This window comes from Homo sapiens, chromosome 2, assembly GCF_000001405.40.
Source record: "Homo sapiens chromosome 2, GRCh38.p14 Primary Assembly".
NCBI lineage: Eukaryota > Metazoa > Chordata > Mammalia > Primates > Hominidae > Homo > Homo sapiens.
The window spans coordinates 158,743,483-158,765,528 of NC_000002.12; the positions used below are offsets into that span (position 1 = coordinate 158,743,483).

General features: G+C 44.4%; 2 annotated features.

Moving 5' to 3' along the window:
• Positions 1,326–1,826: an enhancer, noted in NCBI's record as "H3K4me1 hESC enhancer chr2:159601320-159601820 (GRCh37/hg19 assembly coordinates)". NCBI's record gives its function as "activates a minimal SCP1, AML or CMV promoter by ChIP-STARR-seq in naive and primed H9 embryonic stem cells {active_cell/tissue: H9 hESC(naive and primed)}" and the evidence as "EXISTENCE:reporter gene assay evidence [ECO:0000049][PMID:30033119]".
• Positions 1,827–2,327: an enhancer, noted in NCBI's record as "H3K4me1 hESC enhancer chr2:159601821-159602321 (GRCh37/hg19 assembly coordinates)". NCBI's record gives its function as "activates a minimal SCP1, AML or CMV promoter by ChIP-STARR-seq in naive and primed H9 embryonic stem cells {active_cell/tissue: H9 hESC(naive and primed)}" and the evidence as "EXISTENCE:reporter gene assay evidence [ECO:0000049][PMID:30033119]".

The window sequence follows — 22,046 nt, forward strand, 5'->3', positions numbered from 1 at the left end:
TTGTCTTCATGGTTTCTCCCCTAGGTCCTTTGAAATACCAGCATGGTTCATGCAGAGAAGAAACAGTGTGATAAACAAAAGAGCATGTGTCTGGGGTCAAGGATATCTGTATTTCTAACCCGGCTCTGCCTTTTCCTAGCTAGGTAGTTCTGGGCAAGTTATCAAATTCTCTTAGCCCGAGTTTCATTATCTGCAGAAGGGAATGATCATTTGGTGTTTTGTGGGCTGCAATCCCAGAAAGCCTAAGGCTAAATGCTGAAACAACAAAGGGGTTGACTGGCTGGCATCACTGAGCCCAGAGCACCAGCCATAGCCCCTTCCAGGCCCTCCCGCACCCTTTCTCTGCGAGTTCTTGGCTCTTCTCTCTGCTATGTATTGAGCAGCACAGAAATGGATGAGGTCTTATATCCATACACTAGGAAGTCAGTGGAAAGACACATCTCTAGTAACTCTCTTTTAAGATAAAGCAAACTTCTTTCCCAGAAGCACTTAGCTAACTTCCTCTTGTTTCCTATTGGCCCAAAGAAGTCACACCTCATTTCTCAACAAATTGTTGTGGCAAGGAGATTGGCCTTGAGCTGTGTTCCTCAGCCTGTTGATCACAAAAGACTCCTTTTGGATCAGTGAAGCCCTCCCTTGGAGCTGGGAGTGCAGTCCTCTTACTGGGACAGCCAAGGGCTGGGGAGAGCAGGAGTCATATTTGGGGAGAGGAAATGGATCTCTTGCTTAGATAGGCAGCAATTCCAATTCACAGAAGGTGGTGGGAATTAAATGAGATGTGTGAAAGCACTTAGCCCAGCCCCTGACACATAGTAAATACAATAAGAGGGAGTAAGAGAGAGTAAATACAGTAAGAGAGAGGAAGGCAGAAGGTGGGGAAGAATACCACAGATGAAGTGAAACCAGAAATGAATCACTCACATATCTGGGGGGCTACAGCTTAGAGAGCGTGCTTCTAGTTACCTTGAAATCTATTCCAATAGCTAACCCACCACCACCACACTAGTGCTCAACCCCACTCCCCACCCCAAATGCAAACATTTCATGTATTAGGGTCAAGACCATCCTCAGGATGCTTCTAAACTCTGGAGTAGAAATCAGAAGACCACTTACTGGCTGGAAGACACAATTCGTCTGAGCCTTAATTTCCCCCCATTGATTTGCTCTTAATTTCCACCTTTGTAAGTGGCCTTATATCGTTCCCATAGATGCCCAAAATGCCACAATACTGTCCAGCAGAACTTTCTGCAAGGATGGAAATGGTTTTTGTGCTGTCCAGTATGGTAGCCACTGGCCAAATGTGGCTACTGAGCACTTGAAACATGGCTAGTTCAACTTAGGAGTTGAATTTTTTGTTTTAGCTACTTTTAATTTAAATAGCCACATATGGCCAGTGGCTACCATAATGGGTAGTGTAGCTCCAGACTGTACCCTCCTGAAGCCTGAGACAGAAGTTTCTGCTTCCTCTGCACCTCACCACTGCCTTGAGTCAAGCATGGGGCCCTTGGAGGGCCTCCCGTAAATGCATGTCACCAACTAGCTAAGTGCTCCCAGTTTGCACAGAATCATGAATAGACCTGCTCAGCATAGGTGAAGTGACTGAGCCCTTGTGGTGTAATGGAGAAAAACAGAACTAACCTGGGCACTGAGAGTGAGCGCCGCCTGCTCCACTCTCTGCAGCAATGGATTGCCGCACTCTCCAGGCCATGTCAGTCTGTCCTCACAGGGCTTTGCATGTGTGCGTGTTGGTTGTGTGTTGCATGAGAATGGCCCTGGGAGGGTGAGAGGAGCTGCCTGCTCCTCCAGCCCTGCCTCCCCAGTGGCTGGCCTCTGTCCTGTCTGCTGCTCACTTGAGGCACTTGCTGAGATGATACAGGCTTGAAAAGAGGAGGGGGGAAAAACACACTCCTAGAGCTGAGGGCCTGAATGCATTCTCTCCTGACGGCTGAGAGATCACCCCTTCCACCACTGCGTTCAGCCAGCGCCCCCACTGACACCCTCCCGGGAGTAACAATAGGCCTTTTCTTCTCCGAGCACTGAATGTTTCCATTGGCGCACTTCACCTCCCTCCTGGCGGGAAAGGCCACAGCTGATGGCTCCGCGGCATCCTCAGGGAGCTGTGATGCCTTCCCCCCATTGTCATCAAGATGATCAAAGCTCTGCCATCTTTAAATCGACTCCAGGAGGTTCATATTTAGGGCTTGCCTTCAGCTGGGGCAGGGAGTAGCATCCTTACAAAAATCCCCTGCTTCTGAACTGAGCCATGAAGCTTGATTCACTGACAAAAATCTCATCCTCTTCTCAGGTATTTATCACGGTCTGTGCACCACCTAGAGGCCGCTGTCTTAAACTCTTTCCAGTAAGCAACCTGTCTCCTTCCCTCACCAACAGAAAGACCCCAGAAATGCTGTGTTTCCTGAGTAGACTCCACTGTGCTTCTACTTTCTCAAAGTTGGCTTTCTGTGATCCCACGCACCTCTCACGGAGTCCTTAGACTGAAGCAGACCTGCTCAACCAGGACAGCTTTCTAACACTTTCTAGCCTCTGTCAAAAGAAAAAAACTTTTCGGTTTGTCTTCAGAAGTAAGAAAGGTACCTAGGAAAGATGAGCTGAGCCTTCCTGCTGATGTCCAAACCCACGCGAGCTCTCAGTGCTAGGAGATGCTTGCAGCTGCCTGACGGGCACTCCTGGCTGGGTCTTCCCATATGGGGCTCATTCTCCCAGGACTGGAGATCCTGTCCACTTCACCCTCCCTCCCATGACCATGTCGCTGCCACACAACACAGATTAGGAGCTGTCCCCAGGGGATGACACCATTTTGGGGGAATTGATATCAAATATGTTATTGTTGTCATTGTTTGCTCTGGTTTATTGTGGCAAAATATATATATATATAACATAACATTTACCCTTTAGCTTTTTTTTTAATTGAATGATTCAGTGCTGTGCAACTGTCACCCCCATCCATTTCCAGTACATTTTCATCATTCCAAACAAAAACTCCATGCCCATTAAACAATAACTCCTCCTTCTTCCTTCCCCTCAGCTTCTGGTAACCTCTACCCTACTTTCTGTCTCTGTGACTTTGCCTATTCTGGGTACCCCCTATAAGTGGAATCATACAATATTTGTATGGCTGTGTCTGTGAAAACTGCTGCGGTCTACAGGAAAGGCAGAGCCAAGTTCAAACTTCTCAAAACAAACAAGGAAGAGTCCATTGTTTGGGAGCTTGGGCAAATCAAGCCTCAGCTGGTGTTTACTATCTCCATTTTGAAGTGATCTGAAGAAAGCTCCACTGCAGAGCTGCGGGTAACTAGAGGATCTGACCCTGGAGGTTTGAGGGCAGGCAGGAGGCAGCTCTGAGTGTCTGGACGTGTCGGCGTGGAAGTTTCTGGATTTGCGTGTCTGGATATAACCTCAGGATTCAAGGGGGAGTGATGTCTACACTTCTTTCTTCCTGCATTTGACAGAGAACTGATGATGTACTTTACAGTCATTTTCTTATTACACTAACAGAACGGACCCTTTTGTAATATAAATGGCTATTACTATTTGTGTAGGTTTCAATTATTTTTATATTATGAAACTACAATTCTGTAAATGCTGCATCCCAGGGAGAAAGGGATTGGAGCACCAGAGTGAGTCATTGTAACAGTGACAATTAACATTTATACAGCATTTAAAGGTTGATAAAGCAGCTTTCATAACCGTGATCTCATTTCTTATAATAAGCAGAGAATATAAAAAAGTAGGAAGAGTTTATAAGAGACACCCAGAAAAGATGCATCATTTATTGGTTTCAAGAAAATAATGATCATCTCAGATCTGCAAATGGGATTTAAACCTTAGATATCTCCTTGGCTGAAAAGAGGGACTCAGTAGGAGTTCCCTGCCCCCACCCACTCCCACCAGGAACAAGAAAACTGCATATGAGAGAAAAGCATATTTGACTAGGAATTATAGGAAATTTGAGATGTTCAGGACACACCCTCCTAAAGCTGACCTCTAAGCCAAGCTTTCTCAGTCCGTAAGTAGGAAACATTGGGTTGATTAATAGTATTTCTTTGCAGGACTTCTCAGATCCTTTAATATGCTAATGTGCATTTTGACTTCCCAGAGTGAGACTAGAGTATACAGTGCTTCCCACACATAGTTGATAATGGAATCGTGTTTGAGATTAATGTTCCTAAGGACACACTTTGGGAAGTGCAGACTAAAATGGGTGGGTCCCTGAACCCAGGAGAAACCAGGACCACCAAAACGTGGATACAAAGAGCTTTCCAGAGAGGTAAAGGAGGCTGATGATCTAAGCAGAATGGTCTGAAGCTCAGAAAAAAATGGAACCAGCAGAGGCTTACTCCTGGAGTGGGTACAGGGCAAGTCTGAGAGCAGAACGTCCAGCCGCAGAGCTTCTGTGGTGGCCTGGCCCGCTTGAGTGTGGTCAGGGCAGCATCTTTCCTTCCATCTTCACCAGGTTGGCAGCAATTGGGTCAGGAAAGACCCATGTCCCCGAAGTTCACAGAGAGTCTCTCAAACTGTTCACACCCCCCATACGGGAATGCAAGGAACCTCAAATCATTTAGTCCTATGGAAACTGCACTTAAAAGGAGTCACCAATCCAGATTTGGGAACCCCTCCATCATACTTTTTGGATGACATGTTTGTTTGAATGGGATTTAATTTTTATCATATGTTATAAACGTTATTGAAACTTTGCTTCCCAAGCCCTTTAAATCAGAATCCTAGTAATAGCTGTCACTTTGAGCTGCTTTCTGGGTGCCAAACACTGTGCTAAGCACTCTGCATCTACATCATTATCAGACTCTCACAAGCCTTTGCGGGAGTCTTGATTACTTTCTTTATTTCACAGATGAGGAAACTGTGTCTTAGAAATGTTAGGTGTCTTGTCATTGATCACACAGTTAGTAGGTGATAGAGCCCAGATGCTTACTCAAGTAATCTGGCATTAGAGGCTCCACGGTTAACCATGAGGCTTTACTGCCTCAACATATGTGGAAAAGAGGACAGGCTGCCCCACCTCCATGTTCATTGTCTCTGGCAACCCTTCCAAGAGAATCTCAGTTTATTCCAGGAAGCCAAGTCTGTATTTCTCAGCCTGCCTTTCAGCTAGGTACGCTCAATGAAGCAGAAGTTGTCAGGTGTAGCTTCTGGGATGGCTACTTTAAAAAGCTACCCTGCTTCAAGACACACCTTGTTGACCTTTTTTCTGCATCCTTTTGCCTAACACCTGGATGTGATGGCTGGTGTGTCAGCAGCCATCCTGAACCCAAAGCAGGTGACGTACCTCACCTGCTAAGGATGGCAAAGCAGGAAGGTAGAAGTCTGGGTTCCTAACAGTCATGGAACCCACATGCCAGCTATGGACTGCATACCTCTAGAGAGAAACTAGCTTTATTGTATTTAAACCACCTTTATTTGGGTTTTCTATTCTATGCAGATGAAGCTAATACTAACAGATACACAAGCCCATATTTCAAATTGTGCTTCCTGGTCTTTATTTCCAACTGCCTGCCCCATCAATGAATAGTTTCCTCCATTAAGCTCTGTTTCTCTTCCACAACCCATTCCCCGGGGATGCATGTTCCCTGCCTCTGTGACTCAAGTCTGAAGTCCCAGTTTTCCACATCCACCCAGCCTCTGCCTTTCTAGATCTTACAATTAATACCGTAACCAGACAGCTGGGCCCTGTATTCTTTTCAGCATCATTCAAAATAGCAATAGGAATGTTTTATACCAACAGCTGTTGAGGGAGAAGCATGGTTTGGTGTAAAAAGCACTTGACCTGGTAGAAAAATAAGGGGGTGACTCTATCCTTTGTAAGCTGCAATGATGTAAAGAATCAGTAGGTGATGTCTTCCTCAACATGGGTCTGAGACCCCCTGACTCAGCAGTAATGACTTTTCCATTTTATAGAAAGCAGATGGGATTTTAATGGACTGTGACTATTGTCTATTTTCTTTAAGCAACATACACCAAGATCTATGCACTCTTACAGGTGATAGTATGCATAGCTGCAAAAAGAAAGGTAATATTTACAACTTCCTACTTAAACCCTTTCCTTTAGAAATCAGACTTCTTTCCTCCCCCTCCCACCCCCCAAAAATAAATAAATAAATAAATGAAGGAGACATGGATCCTTCTGTTTTCTAGATGACATAAGAGAGTCATGATTGAACAGCACCACAATGCCACCTTTTTTGCCCTAAAGAAAACAATAAAATGGAGCACTTCTGGATATAATAAGCATTCCTTCCACTCTTGGGGAAGGAAAAGGGGGTAGAGTTTGGGCAGAGCAATGGAGGACTCCTTGGGTAGCTGGCAAATTTCTGTCTTCCAACACAGATATTCGTTACAAGAATTTTGGCCTTATTTAGAATCCACTTGTTTTATGCCATATTCTGTATCTGTGTTTTATTTAACACAAAAGGTTAAAAGGAGGGGAGAGATCACATCTTCCCACTGGAAATGTCTCTTAGTCATGTTCCTTTGTAGATAGCAAAGGGATTTTTTTCTACCATCCATCCCCATCAGCAAGGAAGCAATGCTAGCTCCCAAAAATGGAAAGATCCCATTTCTGCAGGTGGAGACGTGACAATAAGACAATATCAATTGCTCACATTTCCCTGAGTACCTACTCCAGCTAGTTACAATTGAAGAAGCAGTGTGTGTGTGTGTGTGTGTGTGTGTGTGTGTGTGTGTGTGTTCTAATCTTTTAGCAACCCCTTGAGACAGGTACTTTCATCATCCTCATTTTACAGATGGAGAGACTGAGGCACAGAGTGGTAGATCAACTTGCAGTTAGTGAGTTCTGAGGTCAGAATTGAAATACAGGCAGTCTGGGTTTTGCTTCCAATCCATTTGACTGGGAGGGTGGGAGGGGACCTGCTAGAGTGGCCAACTGTCTCAGTGTGCCCAGGACTTTGGGGTTTCCTGGGACATGGGACTTTCACTGTGAAAACTGGGCAAGTCCCAGGTAAACTGTAACAGTTGATCACCCTAGATGGGCTCCTCTCTGCATGTCTCAGATGCAGGGACAATCTCCCCTAAAACAAAACTCAGGTGACAGCTGGGTCATTACGATGCATCTGTGAGCCACAAATCCCCATCAGTGTGCACACCAAGAAACAAAGAGGTCTGGTGGCTCAGAGCCCTCCCTGGGATTGAGTCAACTTCCTAATACAGAAAGCTGAATTCATCTTGACACTTAGAAAAAAAATCAATAGTAGCATAGGATTGGTTTGAATGAGAACAAAATTTACATTTCTTTATATTGGGCCATAAATCCTCCTTGGACTTCCCATCAGTCTAGACCATGTTTAATTCTGTCAGTCACTCTGAGACAGTACGGAGGTCTTAGAGACAAGGATTTGTGCACACTGCTATAATCCCTTGCTGTGGAACAGGGCTCAGGGCATCCACAAATGTCACACGCACCTCTGCAGCTGACTCGGAGCTGTTAACAGTGTTCAGCTCATTGTTGGTGGGGATATGATTCAGCAGAGGACACACAACTTGCCACCGGCATCCCTTTCCTCTGGTGTATAATGAATAGGAGAGGCATACATGTAATTGCAGAGTCACAGAGGTGGAAGGGACACAGGGGGAGGTGTGTAGCCAGGGCTCTGTGGGGAGGTGTTTGATTCTGCAGTTGGTAGCAGGGGGATAGGGGAGCAAGGACATAAAAAATGACAACTGTCTGACTAAATTTCATTCACATTCCTCACTATATCTCCTTCTATGTTCATTCAACAAATATTCATTAAGCACCTGCTCAGTGTTGATTCTAGGTGATCTGTGGTGCTCCTTGGCTTATATTAGGGATGCACCACTCCAATCTCTGCCTCCAGCTTCACACAGCGTTCTCCCTGTCTCTCTCTCTTTACATGGCCATCTTCTTATAAGAGCACTGGTCTCAGCCAGGCACAGTGGCTCATGCCTACGATCCTAGCAGTTTGGGAGGGCAAGGCAGGAGGATTGCTTGAGCCCAGGATTTTGAGACCAGCCTGTGCAATATAGTGAGACCCCATCTCTACAAAATACTTAAAAAATCAGCCAGGCATGGTGGTGTATGCCTGTAGTCCCAGCTACTTGGGAGACTGATGTGGGAAGATCGTCTGAGCCCAGGAAGTTGAGGCTGCAGTGAGCTGTGATTGTGCCACTGCACTCCAGCCTGGGCAAGAGTGAGAGCCTGTCAAAAAAAAAAAAAAAAGGACTAGTTGCATTGGATTAGGGCCCCCCTATTCCAGTGTGACCTCATCTTAAATTCCATCTGCTAAATTCAAAATTCCTATTTCCAAATAAGACTACATTCTGAAGAACTGAGGTTTAGGGTTTCAACATATCTCTTTGAGGGGGACACAATTCAACCCTGAATTGTGACCCTGGGTGACAGTGACCCTGGGTGAGTGCTTTAGTTCCCTCCTCCACAGAATGGGGATAACTAGTACCAACCTCTGAGGATCAATGAGCTAATAAATACATAAAACTCTCAAAGCCGTGCATTGAATGTAGTAAGTGCCATTTAGGAATTTGCCATTATTTTATTTTTATATGCCGGTTATGAACCACTGTGTTCGTTTCACACCCCACATTTTAAAGACCATTGCTCACATAATGTGATTCCAACATGGTTTCCGAGGCCTTCATGACTGGCCTCTGCTGACCCCTTAGCCTCCTCTATCCCAGTATCCCCTCCCACACGTAACTCATTTTCAGTTACCTGAATATGTCATAATCACTCTTGTTCCCAGGGTTTCATTCAGTCTCTTATTCTACTTCTATACCCGATCATCTGGAAAATGCCTAGCTTATCCTTCAGGTCTCAGGCAAACAGCACCCCCTCCAGAAAGTCTTTCTTCACCACCAGTTATGAGCTACTGCCCTTTAGTTCTCTATGCATAGTACTTAGACGCTAGAATGTAAATACCAGTTTGCTTGTCCATAACCTTCCGTACTGTAAGCTTTCCAGGATGGCATCTGACTTATTAACTACTATATGCCCAACACCAAATACAGGGCCTGGAAAACAGTCTTGGTTGCCTACCCAACAGACATTTTTTCCCTTTTTCTTTACGTAATTGATTTCTTTTCTAGTACCAACAACTCCAGAAGACCAAGAGAGATCTAAGGTTGATTCATGATTGGTCTGTTCCAATCATGGAAACCTATTCACCCTCCCAGAGGCTGACTTAGGGATGCGCAATGTGACCCACTCTGGTCAGTGAGACATGAGGGGAGATATGCTGGGATGATTTCTGAGAAACAGTTTCAGGAACATTTTAAAGAGTTTCAGGAGAGGAAACAACCCATCCCTGTTTTTAGGTGAGTGGGAGGCGGCTGTTGTACAGCCATGATGAAAGGCACAAGGACAAATATTCACCTGCTGAGGATGGCAGAGCCAAAGTATGGAATGAACCCAAGTCCTTGATGATTTTGCTAAGACGTTGAATCAACCAGCCCTGGAACTGCCCTGCTGCTTGACTTCTTGTGATGAGATAATACCTTTTCACTATATTACCTATATAATAATATTGTGATTGTATCTCACTATAGAGATAATACTGTTTTCCTTGTTGTTTATTTAAGTAACGTGTTCTGTCACTTGCAGCTGAACATAACCTGACAGACACTTAGGAAATATTGTTGACTGCATAGGTGTTCAGATGTTAAACGTGCTAGAGACAGAAAAGAGAGATGAGAACTAGAAGGCCAGCCATCTCCCAGGGGTCAGGCACAGGAGGCCTGTTTCATGTGCATCGTAGAATTCAACTTTCCCAGAAAGCTTGTGACCATACAAAGTTTACCCATTTTAGAGATGAGGAAACTGAAGCTCAGGAAAGTTTATCAACCTATCCAAGGTCACGGAGTTAGTAAGTGCAGCAGCTGAGCAATATTTAGTTACTATTTTATGAAGACTTAGTTCAGCATTTTAATTCAGACTTTTCATTCATAATACAAGATTTTAAAATTTCTTTTTTTTCCCATTTCCACTTCCCATGGATTTTCACCTACTAGTTTAAAGTTAAGCATTCTAATTTTGATGTTATCCTGGTCACTCCTAATGTTTGACCGTACTCATGTTTATTTTCCCACGTTAATTTATCAGTGCCATCACTCTCTCTTTCCCTCCAGAGTATCTGAGCCCAAGGGACACTCCCGTGTGATTTGGTCTCCCTAACCGCTCCCCTACCTCCCTTCAAGTTAATGTTGGAGCTTCTCCAGGGCTGACTTGGGAGAGGAGCCGGCAGACCGGGCCAGTGCACCCTCTTGGCAGGAAGCCTGCGTGTGGGAAATAAATCCCAGGTTTGTCTACTTCCAAAACACATTCTTTTCACTACACCATGAGGCCTGAATAGACGCATGTGGCCTACAAGTATATTCTCTTTAGCCATCTGAGAAAGAACAAAACTCATTTGAGCAGCTTTCTGCAGCCCTTTTCTCCTCCCCTTGGTGGGAATGAGTGACGGGAACAGAGAATACAGTCCTTCCTCTACCCGCCAGAATGTCTGCTTGCAGCCAGCATTTCACAGATGAATGCTGAAGAAAATGTCTTAGCTGCATCCAGGGAATTTCAAGTGCTTTCCTCCTGTTTCTGAGGGAAAACAAACAAACAAACAAACAAACAAAAACTGTCTTTTTCTGCAGCAAAGCCCCAGGAATTGGCGGTGTAAAGGGCTTGTGAGCTGGGAATCATGTGCCCTCTAGTGGTCATCTCTAGGAAGTCCCAACCAGATGGTCATTTCCACAGAAAACAGCAGGAGGAACCGCTACAGAGTATGGGAGACAAGAAGAGAATGCCTCCTAACACCTACATAATAAGCTGTAATGGTGGAAAGCCATTTGCTTTTGAATTTTATTGAAAATGCCAAATACAGGTCGTGAATATTGAAATGGACGTCTGAGCGGTGCACAAATCCTCGCAGGTCTTACTGAAGCTTCCCAGGATTAGCTTCCCAGCACAGAGCTCCTAAGGCTTGATTGGGTTTGCAAAGCAAGGATGCTGAGCTGGAGAAAATCAACTAGCCAGAAGTCATCTTGGGAAGGGAAAGTTATTTCTGATGGGAAAATATTTGATAAGAAGCTGATGCCTGTGTGGACAGAATGGTCTAGGGTTTGTTTTTGTTTGGTTGGTTTTTTTGTTTTGTTTTGTTTCTTTTTTGTTTTTGAAATGGAGTCTCGCTCTGTTGCCCAGGCTGGAGTGCAGTGGTGCAATCTCGGTTCACTGCAACCTCCACTTCCCAGGTTCAAGCCATTCTCCTGCCTCAGCCTCCCGAATAGCTGGGATTACAGGCGCCTGCCACCAGGCCCGACTAATTTTTGTATTTTTAGTAGAGAGGTGATCCACCCGCCTCAGCCTCCCAAAGTGCTGGGATTATAGGTGTGAGCCACTGTGCCTGGCCTGTTCTATTTTATTATTATTGTTATTCATCTCTTATTGTGCCTAGTTTATACATTAAACTTTATCGTAGGTACATATATATAGCAAAAGACATAATATATATATGGTTCAGGCATCCACTGGGGGTCTTGGAATGTATCACCCACAGATAAAGGGAAACTATTGTAACTTCAGTTGAGAAAAGCTCATAGTCAAATGCTTCTCTCTGACTTAACGTACTGCCCATCTATTGGTACTAGAAAAGTCAATGTTATAACAGCCCTAAAACTGCCAACACATGTGAAAAATATTTAGCTTTTTGTCTAACGATGGGACCCAACTGACCAAATAAAACCCAAATAAAGGACCTGTAACTGCTCATATCTTTCATGTGTGCCTGCAAGCAAATTTTATATTCCTTCCCACTGAGATTTCTTTCTTTCAAAATATTCCAGGTATGTGGCTTCAAAGCATGTGGCATCTGACATGTGGACACATTGAGAGTAGGATGAGATTGTATTTACCTTTGCCTTGCTGGAGCTTAGCACCTTTGTGGTGTCTTTTGATAAATGGGAAGTGACAAATGTTCTCACGTGGGCAGCAGGAAGGATTCATATGCTCCTCCAATTTTACAGCAACAGACAACAAATGAAAAGGAAGGGCTTAGTCATGCAGGGGCACACTCTCACCTCATCACTAGATGACAGTGCAGCACCCCAGACTCACAGCTTGCCCATAAGTCTTGCATTTAGTGCATGAGGATTCCATTCAGATGCCACCGAATGCCATTTCCATGATCTGGACTGACTTTTCTTTTTTCAGGCACAATAAAGTAAAGACAATTTGGAGTCATTTGCCTTGTTTCTTCAATAAAAGAAAGACTTGGATTTACACAGCCTCTTTTCTCCAAAGAGCTCAGCATGCTTGCCCATCTGGTGTCTCATTTGCCTTCGTTTCATCGCTTTAAAGTCAATAAAGTGTGTTATGCTAGTGTCAGGGCCAGGGAAGGTGAGAGAGTGTGTAGGCTTATTCCTGCTCGCCAAGAGGGGGCGCCCCTGTGCCCTCCTAGTAACACATTCCTAGACACCCATTGCCCACCTACGAGGTGGCCAGTCCACATTCTGCAGGCACCAGAGGCTCTCTGCCCACAAGCAATGCCAGTCTGCAACTGCCAAGTCTAACACAAAGAGACACGTGAACAGAGAATCACAATATAGCATGATAAGAGGTAGGCTGCAGGGATGGGTTAGGTTTGGGTGTGGAGAGAGTCAGAGTTGGGCACAAGAGGAAGTTACTGAAGGGTTTAAAAAGTAAAGTTTCAGTACAAATTGTAGTAAATGAAGTAATTGGAAAAACAGTGTTAACCCCTTTTTAATTAGTTAAATTAATTAAATCAGACTTTCTGCTCACCAAAATGTATCCTATGTGTTTTCTAAGCTTGATTGACAAGTTTGGCTGAAAGGACCAAACTACTTTTTGCTTAATAATTACAAAATAGGTAGAAAAAATGCACCCCCTCCAAAAAAGTAAAGCTTCAATAACAAGGCTGTGGAGGAGTAGCAACCCTCATACATTGCCAGTGTGAGTGAAAAATGACTCAGATGCTATGGAAAGCAGTTTGACGTTTCCTCAAAAAGTTAAACACAGAATTACCGCATGACCCAGCATGCATACCCAAAATAATTGAAAACCGGTGCTCAGACAAATCCTTGTACACAAACATTCATAGCGACATTATTCACAAGAGTCAAAAGGTAGAAACAGCTGAAATGTCCGTCAACGAATGAAGACGTAAACAAATTGTGGCTACACACATACAATGGAATAATATGCAGCCGTAAAAAGAACTGAAGTACTGATACACGCTATAACTTGCATGAACCTGTAGACTGTTATGCTAAGTGGGAGATGCTAGACTCAAAAGGTCACGTATTGTATAACCCCGTGTATATGAATTATCCAGGTTATGCAAATCCATAGAGACAGAATGTGGATTGGTGGTTGCCAGGGGCTGGGGAAAGTGTTGAATGGTGGGGGGTGACTGCTTAATGAGTGTGGGGTTCTGTTTTGGGATGATGGGATTGTTTTGGAACTAAACAGAGATGGCGGTTGCATAACACTGTGAATGTACTAATTGCCATGGCATTGTTCAGTCTAGAGTGGTTAATTTTGTTACGTGAATTTCACCTCAGTAACTTTTTTTTTAAGTAGAGCTTCACTCAAGAGGTACGTGGAAGCAGGACAGCAGGATCTTGACAGATGGCCCTGGGGGGGCGGCGCATTTGAGTCAGAGACAGCATCATGAGTAAGAGGAACCCAGCCTGACGTGGGCAACTCAGGCTACCGCAAGTAATCCCGTGGGCTGGATGCGGGGATACATGACTGACTTGGGGTCGGAGAGGGCTCTACCAAGGGGTAGAGAATTAGATGGCACATAGTTCACAAATTTATCTTCATTATGTCTGTGTGTCCTGTGAAAGTCAATTTCAAATTCTTGGATAACTGGCCGAGTAGGGAGAGGAGTTGCCCACCAGGGGGCTACCCTAGAACCCCACAGAGCAGACCAGGTGCCACCTGAGGCCAGGATCAAGATTTTTCTCTGACACTCTCCACTCTAGGACCATCACTCCTTGAGAAACGAAGAATCAAAGCCCCGGCCTTCTCCACAGGGCAGGGTGCAGTCATCTGTGCTGGGGAACCTTCTCAGCCCTTTAAGGTACACTCCGGGCACAGGTTCTCCACCTTTACTATTATCACACATTCTCAAAATGAAAGAAAGGCTATTATAAGATAAAACTTTCAAACCAACTTGAAAAATAACTGAACAAATGGCTGGGCATGGTGGCTCATACCTGAAATCCCAGCACTTTGGGAGGCTGAGGTGGGCAGATTACCTGAGGTTGGGAGTTTGAGAGAAGCCTGGCCAAAATGGCGAAACCCCACCTCTATTAAAATTACAAAAATTAGCTGGGTGTGGTGGTGGGTGCCTGTAATCCTAGCTACCTGGGAGACTGAGACAGGAGAATCGCTTGAACCTGAAATGTGGAGGTTGCAGTGAGCCAAGATCACACCACTGCACTCCAGCCTGAGTAATAGAGTGAGACTCCATCTCAAAACAAAACAAAACAAAAAACTACTAATCACCAAATTAAAGACACTGTTTGTCTTAATATTCAAAGAAGACCTACTCAGAGAACAGTACCCAGAGAATCTTAAGAAAGTCAACCACACTCGTTCTGGATCCTCAGAGCGTGGGGCCCTCAGCTCCGGCTGGTTCCTGCTGCCTCAAAGCTCTAGACCTGCCTCTAGCTCACTTTAGCACTGCTGGCCAGGTAGGTGGTGCTGATGTAGCAGTACACAGATTCAACTTTAAGCTTGGTTATGGACTACATTGTGTTTCTCCAGTGTGACTGTATTTGGAAGTAGAGCCTTTAAGGTGATAATTAAGGTTAAATGAGGTCACAAGGATGGGGCCACAATCCGAAAGGACTGGTGTCCTTATAAGAAAGGGAAGAGATATCAGAGAGCCCTCTTTTTTTCCTTGAATGTACAGAAGAAAGAACATGTGAGGACATAGTGGCCAACTGCAAGTCGGGAAGAGAGGCCAGAAAACAACCTTGATCTTAGACTTCCAGCTTCTAGAAATGTGAGAAAATAAGTTTCTGTTGTTTAAGCCATCCAGTCTGTGGTATTTTGTTATGGCAGCCCAAGCAGATTAATACAAGCTTGTAAGAAATGCAGAATCTTAGGTCCCACCCAACCTAATGAGAACCTGCATTTTAACAGGTGGATTATGTGCACATAGCAGTTTGAGAAGCATTGTCCTAGAATACTGCTATGGTTAAATGTGTCCCCCAAATTTCATGTGTTAGAAACTTTATTATTCTTTATTTATTTATTTTGAAACTTTATTATTTTATTTATTTCACTCTTTCACTCAGGCTGGAGTGCAGTGGTGCAACCACGGCTCAATGCAACTTTGACCTCTTGCGCTCAGGTGATCCTGATCCTCCCACTTCAGCCTTCCAAGTAGTAGGGTCTATAGGTGTATGTCACCATGCCCGACTAATTTTTTGTATTTTGGATAGAGATGGGGTTTCAACATGTTTCCAGGCTGGTCTCAAAGTGCTGGGCTCAAGTGATCCAACCACCCTGGCCTCCCAAATGCTGGCATTGCAGGCCTAAGCCACCTCACCCAGCCTGTGTTGGAAGCATAAATCCCAAATTCATATGTTGATTGGAGTTGGAGCCTTTGGAAGGTGATGAAAATTAGATAAGGTCATCAGGGTGGGGCCCCCATGATGGACCTGGTGGCTTTAAAAGAAGAGAGATTGGCCTGAGTGAGCACACTTGCTCTGTCTCACAATCTGATGCCCTCTGCCTTGTTAGGATGCAGCAAGAAGGTCCTCACCGGATGCCAGCACCATGATCTTAGACTTCCCAGCCTCTAGAACCATGAGCTAAATAAATCACCCAGTCTGTGGTATTCAGTTATAGCTACAGAAAGTGAACTAAGACAAATACCTACTGTCTTTAACCTCTATTCTGCTTTCAATATGATAAAATGGGCCACTCATGAACCTCAGCTACACAATCATAAAAGCTAACAGACAAATTGAATGATTATTTTTTTAATGACAAGTAAAAGGAACTACTATCCTAACACAAACATGCAACTAAAGTGGACATCTGATGCTTTGTCTGCCCAGCACTCCTCTTCCTGCGAAGAACTGCACCCATCCTATGTCATTCCCACAGGGATAGTCATTCACAATGCTGCATCAGTGTTGCACACCTACCTATCCACGGGGGTGGATGTGTGACCCAGAAGTTGACCGGTCTGGTACCCACCTATTTTAGCTTTATGTGCCAGGCATCAAGCTGAACGTGAGGGATACCGACATGAAGAAGATGCAGTCCCTTCCTTCCGGTTACCAGCAGTCTGGAAACTGGGACTACTGCAGAGTCCAAGGTATTAGCAAACCATGCAATACAGGGTGATAAGTACATGCTGAAGCACTGAGCAAAGTGTTGTGAAAATACAGAGAGCAGGTAAAGACTGAAGAAAGGAGTTCGTATTTCAGCAGAATCTTAAAAAGAAGTTCCATATGAGCAATCAGCATGTGCAAAAACAAGGATTTTTGAAACAGGGCTTGTGGCCTGGTGGGTACACTGGAACCCCACTAGAGGGTGAGATTAAGGGGAATGGTGGGGAGCAAGATTGCAGGACGGAGTGAATGACATGAAAAGATCGAGTCCAGCCAAGGAGTTGCATTGAATCCTAGGCAACAAGGAGCTAATGTAGGTTTCTGAGCAGAGAAGAGTTAAAAGCAGATTTGTAATTTAATACAATCCCTCTGGAGGTTAAATGGGATCATTAAATGATGAACCCTTGGATGGTAGGAGTGTCTTTGGTATGCAGTAGTGTTGATAAACATTTATTGGGAAATGATGACAGTCTCAACAGAGGCAGTAGCAGAGGGGATAGAAAAAACGGAGCAATTTTGAAAGACATTTTTGAGCTAGAACCAACAGAACTTATCCAACAATTAGGAAGGAAAGGCAAGAATTAAGAATGTTTTAGCAGTTTCTCTCTTAAGTGATAAAATGGATGGAAATAAGAACTAGGTGAAGATAATAGTCGTGCTTTTGAACATATTAGATTTGAGAGGCCTGGGAATCCAGGGAACGAAGTAGGTCTGACAGGTAAGGAATTTAAGAACGTCTGGGGCAAAAGATAGGAAGGTCTAGAAGTCACCATCACAGAGATGCAGTTTACAAGAGAGGGTGTTAGTCAAGAGAATTAACCTCCGAAATGCTAGAAATTGTTCAAATTATGACTTTCCGAAGGAATATGTCAGGCTCAAGTTCCTTTATAATTGTTACATACAAGATCAAAGCTCCCCCACCTACACCCACATTCCCTACACCCCTAAAATAGAATTGGCAAAATGCCTCCACACCACAGGTAGGGATTAAAAAAAAAAAAAAACAAGACTCCAGCTATTTGACTCCCTTAGCATGTCTGGGCCACCAACAAATCATAAGCTGTTGGAGACTCTGCCTGGCAACCAATGCTGGACCATTCATAAGGAGAAATGGCATCAGCATCCACTAAACCAGACAGTCTTTGAAGTACTTCTGCCAAACCCAGGGTAACTACTGAGCCAGGAGGCCTTCTGGTCTTTTCATTTCCCTGCCAAACTGGCCACGTGCTGACTCTCCCTTGCCAGGAGTTCATGCCTGCACCTCCATGGGTACCTGATAAGATGCCACAGTCCTTGTCATGGGCATATGCATGGGGGCTGGGGGGTCAGGTGAGAGGAGGCAGCAGTGGCCAGGGAGCTGGCAGCCTGGGGTCAGTTGTACCAGTGATTCTCAGCTAAACTTGGCTTAGTGGAGCCACAGAACTTTGTCTGAATATGTACCTATCAGAAAGCCGATGACTTTTCTTGTTATACTTTTTCTTTAAAAATGAAACAAAACTGAATTAACATAGAAAGATCTAACTGATATGATAATTGATAAAGGCACATGGTATAGCTGTATGCACAATATGATCTATTTGGGTTTTTTTCCTAAGTGTATGTGAAGGTGTGTGTGTGTGCGCCTGTGCGTACGTAGAACTTATCTGAAAGGATACATACCCAGCACTGGGGAGCTGGGATGGGGAGGGGGAATGGGGAGCTTCTACATTTCACCTTTCTCTATCGTTTGCGTTTGCTTTTTTTTCTTTTTTTTACAAGAAACTTGTTAATTTTCATGTAAAATTTTTTCAAAAGGCACCAGACATTTTAATCAATCATAGAAGGGCAGCTCAATACTTAATAGATTTCTAAGGTCTGTGTGTGAACATGCATTGCTTAACAGCGTGGTTTTCAAGTAGATGCCTCCTAACCAAGTCAGCACAAGTTCCTAATGACTGACTGAGCAAGAGCGTGGCTTCCTGAAGGCAGAGTCCCTCCCTCCCCCTTCCCTCACTTCCAGCCATCCCAGGTCAGGTAAGAACCTGTCTGGAGAATGTGTGTAGGAGAAAGGAGGCTCCACAATGGTGAATAGGAGAGTCACTGGCTGCAAAGACGCTTGTGAAACAAGGCCAGGCCTTGGATTACTACCTTCATGTTCATGGGGATGCGACAGTCTTTGCCCAGACTAACCCAGGTTTGTCACACCCACACTAAGCTAGCGTGGAATCAGTAACTAGGTCAATAATCAGCTCTAAAGCTGGCTTATCCCAGGGTTGAAGGCAGGTGGATCCCTGTGTTGAGCTGGCTTCTTTCCTTGGGTGAGAGGTGGGTTCCTGACTGGTTGAGGTGCCCTCTCTGCCAAGCTGGGAAAGGCCATCAGGAGCATAAATCCTGAGAGCCTCCTCAGAAAAAAAAAAAAAACAAAACAGAAGAAGCCAGGAAGATTCAGGAATAACTGGCTCAGAAAACATTTCCTAAAGGCAGGGGTAAAGGATTCCCATTTAGAAAATTTAAGCAAGAAATTAAGTAAAACAAAGAAACATAAAAATCAGTTTGAAAAACAACATACTCCATGTTGGATTTTTGATGCTCTTTAAATAACAGCAAATTGAAAATGCGGACATCAGTGACATGGAGCCACATCCTGTGACTTTTCCAACAGCTCTACCACAAGAGCCCTGCCTGCCCTGGGCAGCGGAGACTTGTAGGGAGGAAGTTGAGGAAGCTTCCTCTCTCTGCCCAACCCCCATCACCACCCCCTGCCACCACCCCCATCAAAAGGCAAGTCTACCATTCGCACAACTGCCACTCTATATTGTCCTTGTCTTCCCACTTTTTAAAATAAGATTTTATTTTTGTATACATATTTGCTTAAAATCAGTGAGTTTCTGGTCAGGTTGTGGTACCAGAAGGCTTTTATGAGTAGTTTATGTTGCCAAGACCCAAGATATGCTGCAAACAGTCTGGAGTAAAGTAGACAATAACATCTTTCTAAAGAGAGGTTAGAAATTTCTAATCCAGCAAGTTTTTTAAACATGTTTTCATTTTCCAGAAGCAAAGCTGAGTTAAATTTGGCTACCAGGACACTATTCACAGGTATCACCAAGGAAACAGAGTATAGACCACCAAAAACAAGTTCAACCCATCCATTCATGTTACAGTACAGCTATCACAATTCAAACCCCCCACACTCAAAGGCAAGCTTACAAAATCTTTGTAAGGTAAATGTGCTGTCAAAAATGCCAGGTAAGGCCGTGCATGGTGGTTCATACCTGTAATCCCAGCACTCTGGAAGGCTGAGGCAGGAAGACTCCTTGAGCTCAGGAGTTTGAGACCAGCCTGGGCAACATAGTGAGACCTCATCTCTACTAAAAATAAACAAAAAATTAGCTGGGCATGGTGGTGCATGCCTGTAGTCCCAGCTACTTGGGAGGCTGAGACAGGAGGATTGCTTGAGCCCGGGAGGTTGAGGCTGCAGTGAGCTATAATGACGCCACCACACTCCAGCCTGGGTGACAGAATAAAACCCTGTGTCAAAAAAATTAAAAAAAAAAAAAGCAGGTAAGCATGTAAGCTAAACTAACCTGTGTCACACTAAAGATACATCAATAAAGACTGTAACTGAGAATGTGAATAAATCAGAACCCTTGTGCATTGCTGGCAGTAATGTATAATGATGCAGCCACATGTGGAAAATGGTGTGGAATTCCTCAAAAATTTAAACGTAGAATTGCCATATAATCCAGCAACTCCACCTGTGGATATATACCCAAAAGAAGTAAAAGCAGGACTCAAAGAGATATTTGCATACTCACAATATAGCAGCATTGTTCACAATAGCCAAAAGGTGGAAACAACCCAAGTGTCCATCAACGGAAGAAAAGATAAAAAAAAAATGTGATCTATTCATGCAATGGAATATTATTCAGCCTAGAAAAGAAAGGAAATTTTGACACATGCCGCAACATGGGTGAATCTGAAGACATTATGCTAAGTGAAATAAGCCAGTCACAAAGAGATAAATATTTTAAGACTCCACTTATGCGAGGTACCTGGCCACGTGCTGTCTAGAGTGGTCAAATCCATAGAAACACAGTAGAAGGGTCTAAACCTCCTAGCCCTGCACAGCAGGGTCTAAACCCAGTAGGACTGAGACCCTGACAGGACCCATGAAAGGAATCCAGAGACCCAAGACCTGCTGAAAAAGGACATGCTTATAGGAGTGGTCTGAATCCCTGTAGGCACTGACTGAGTTGGTCTCAGTTAGTTCTTTGGTTTGGACACTTGCAGTTGGGCCTTTTCCATGATAGACCCCAACAATGACTCATCTCCTTTTCCAAAACTTGCCACAAGCTGAAATATGTTGACTTCCCTGGCTTAGAGCCTCAGATATCCTTGCTAGGGATTCTGCTCACCTGGCCACACACCCAACCCTGCCATCCATAATTACCACTCTTCCTCTGAAACTCCTGCTAACTCTTTCCTGGAATATTGATGTCCCATTGTCTCTGTAATTTAGAGAGTAAAATCCTTGAACAAAGACTATTCAAAACTACTTCAGCCAACAGGCATTTATTAAGTACCTAACAGATGCAAAACTTGTATGAAGTTTGAGTTTGAATAATCACTAGCCATCAATTGCATTAACAACTAACCAAACAGACATTTATGTGTGTAATTTACCCTACATGTAGGTGGAGTAGGTGGCCAGTGGAAACTTCCAAAACCTTGCCCAAATTATCGTCCTATCAGATTGTTTAATGTGGAACTGGCAGGGAAACCTGGGAAGCCAGACACACCCAATTGCTACCATTAAGGAGGCTTTTATTGACTGAGCATTGTTGGAGCCATTAGCAGTATTGTGATAGTAGCTGAGGGAAGCTCTCAGAGGGACACTGCAATGGAACATTTTTACAGGAGCAGAGAAAATGGAAAGTCTGAAGTAAGGCACTGGCCAGTGAAAGCTGGCCTAAGGAGTGAATGACACTGAGTGACCTTGGACAATCAAAGTCTTCATGAGGGCCGGGCGATATGACTCACGCCTATAATCCCAGCACTTTGGGAGGCTGAGGTGGATGGATCACCTGAGCTCAGGAGTTCAAGACCTGCCTGGCCAACATGGTGAAGCCCCATCTCTACTAAAAATGCAAAAATTAGCCAGGTACAGAGGCACGCACCGGTAATCCCAGGTACTTGGGAGGCTGAGGCAGGAGAATTGCTTGAACCCGGGAGGCGGGGGTGGCAGTGAGCTGAGATCATGCCATTGAACTCCAGCCTGGGTAATAGAATGAGACTGCTCTGTCTCAAAAACAAAAACAAAAACAAAAACAAAAACAAAAACAAAAGTCTTCATGAGGACACCTAGCACCAGGGGAGGGAGTGTCTAAAGGGCCAAAGAGAGTGGAAGGAAAGGCAGTAGAGAAGGCATTGTCATCCTCCTCCACGGGTTTACCATGGGCCAGCCCTGCAGATGGCTCATGGAAGCCTTTGGAGGAAGAGACACAACCTCTTGATGCCTCGCAACCTAGTCAGAGCCTGGGAGGGAATGGATAATGTTTCATGGTTGAAACGGTGGCACATACTTTCGAATATTATGTTAGTTTCCAAAAAAACAAGACTAAAGCGGCCTCTTCTCTGGCAGCTCTCCACCTAACGCTTCTCTGAGGCCTCTACTCTATAAA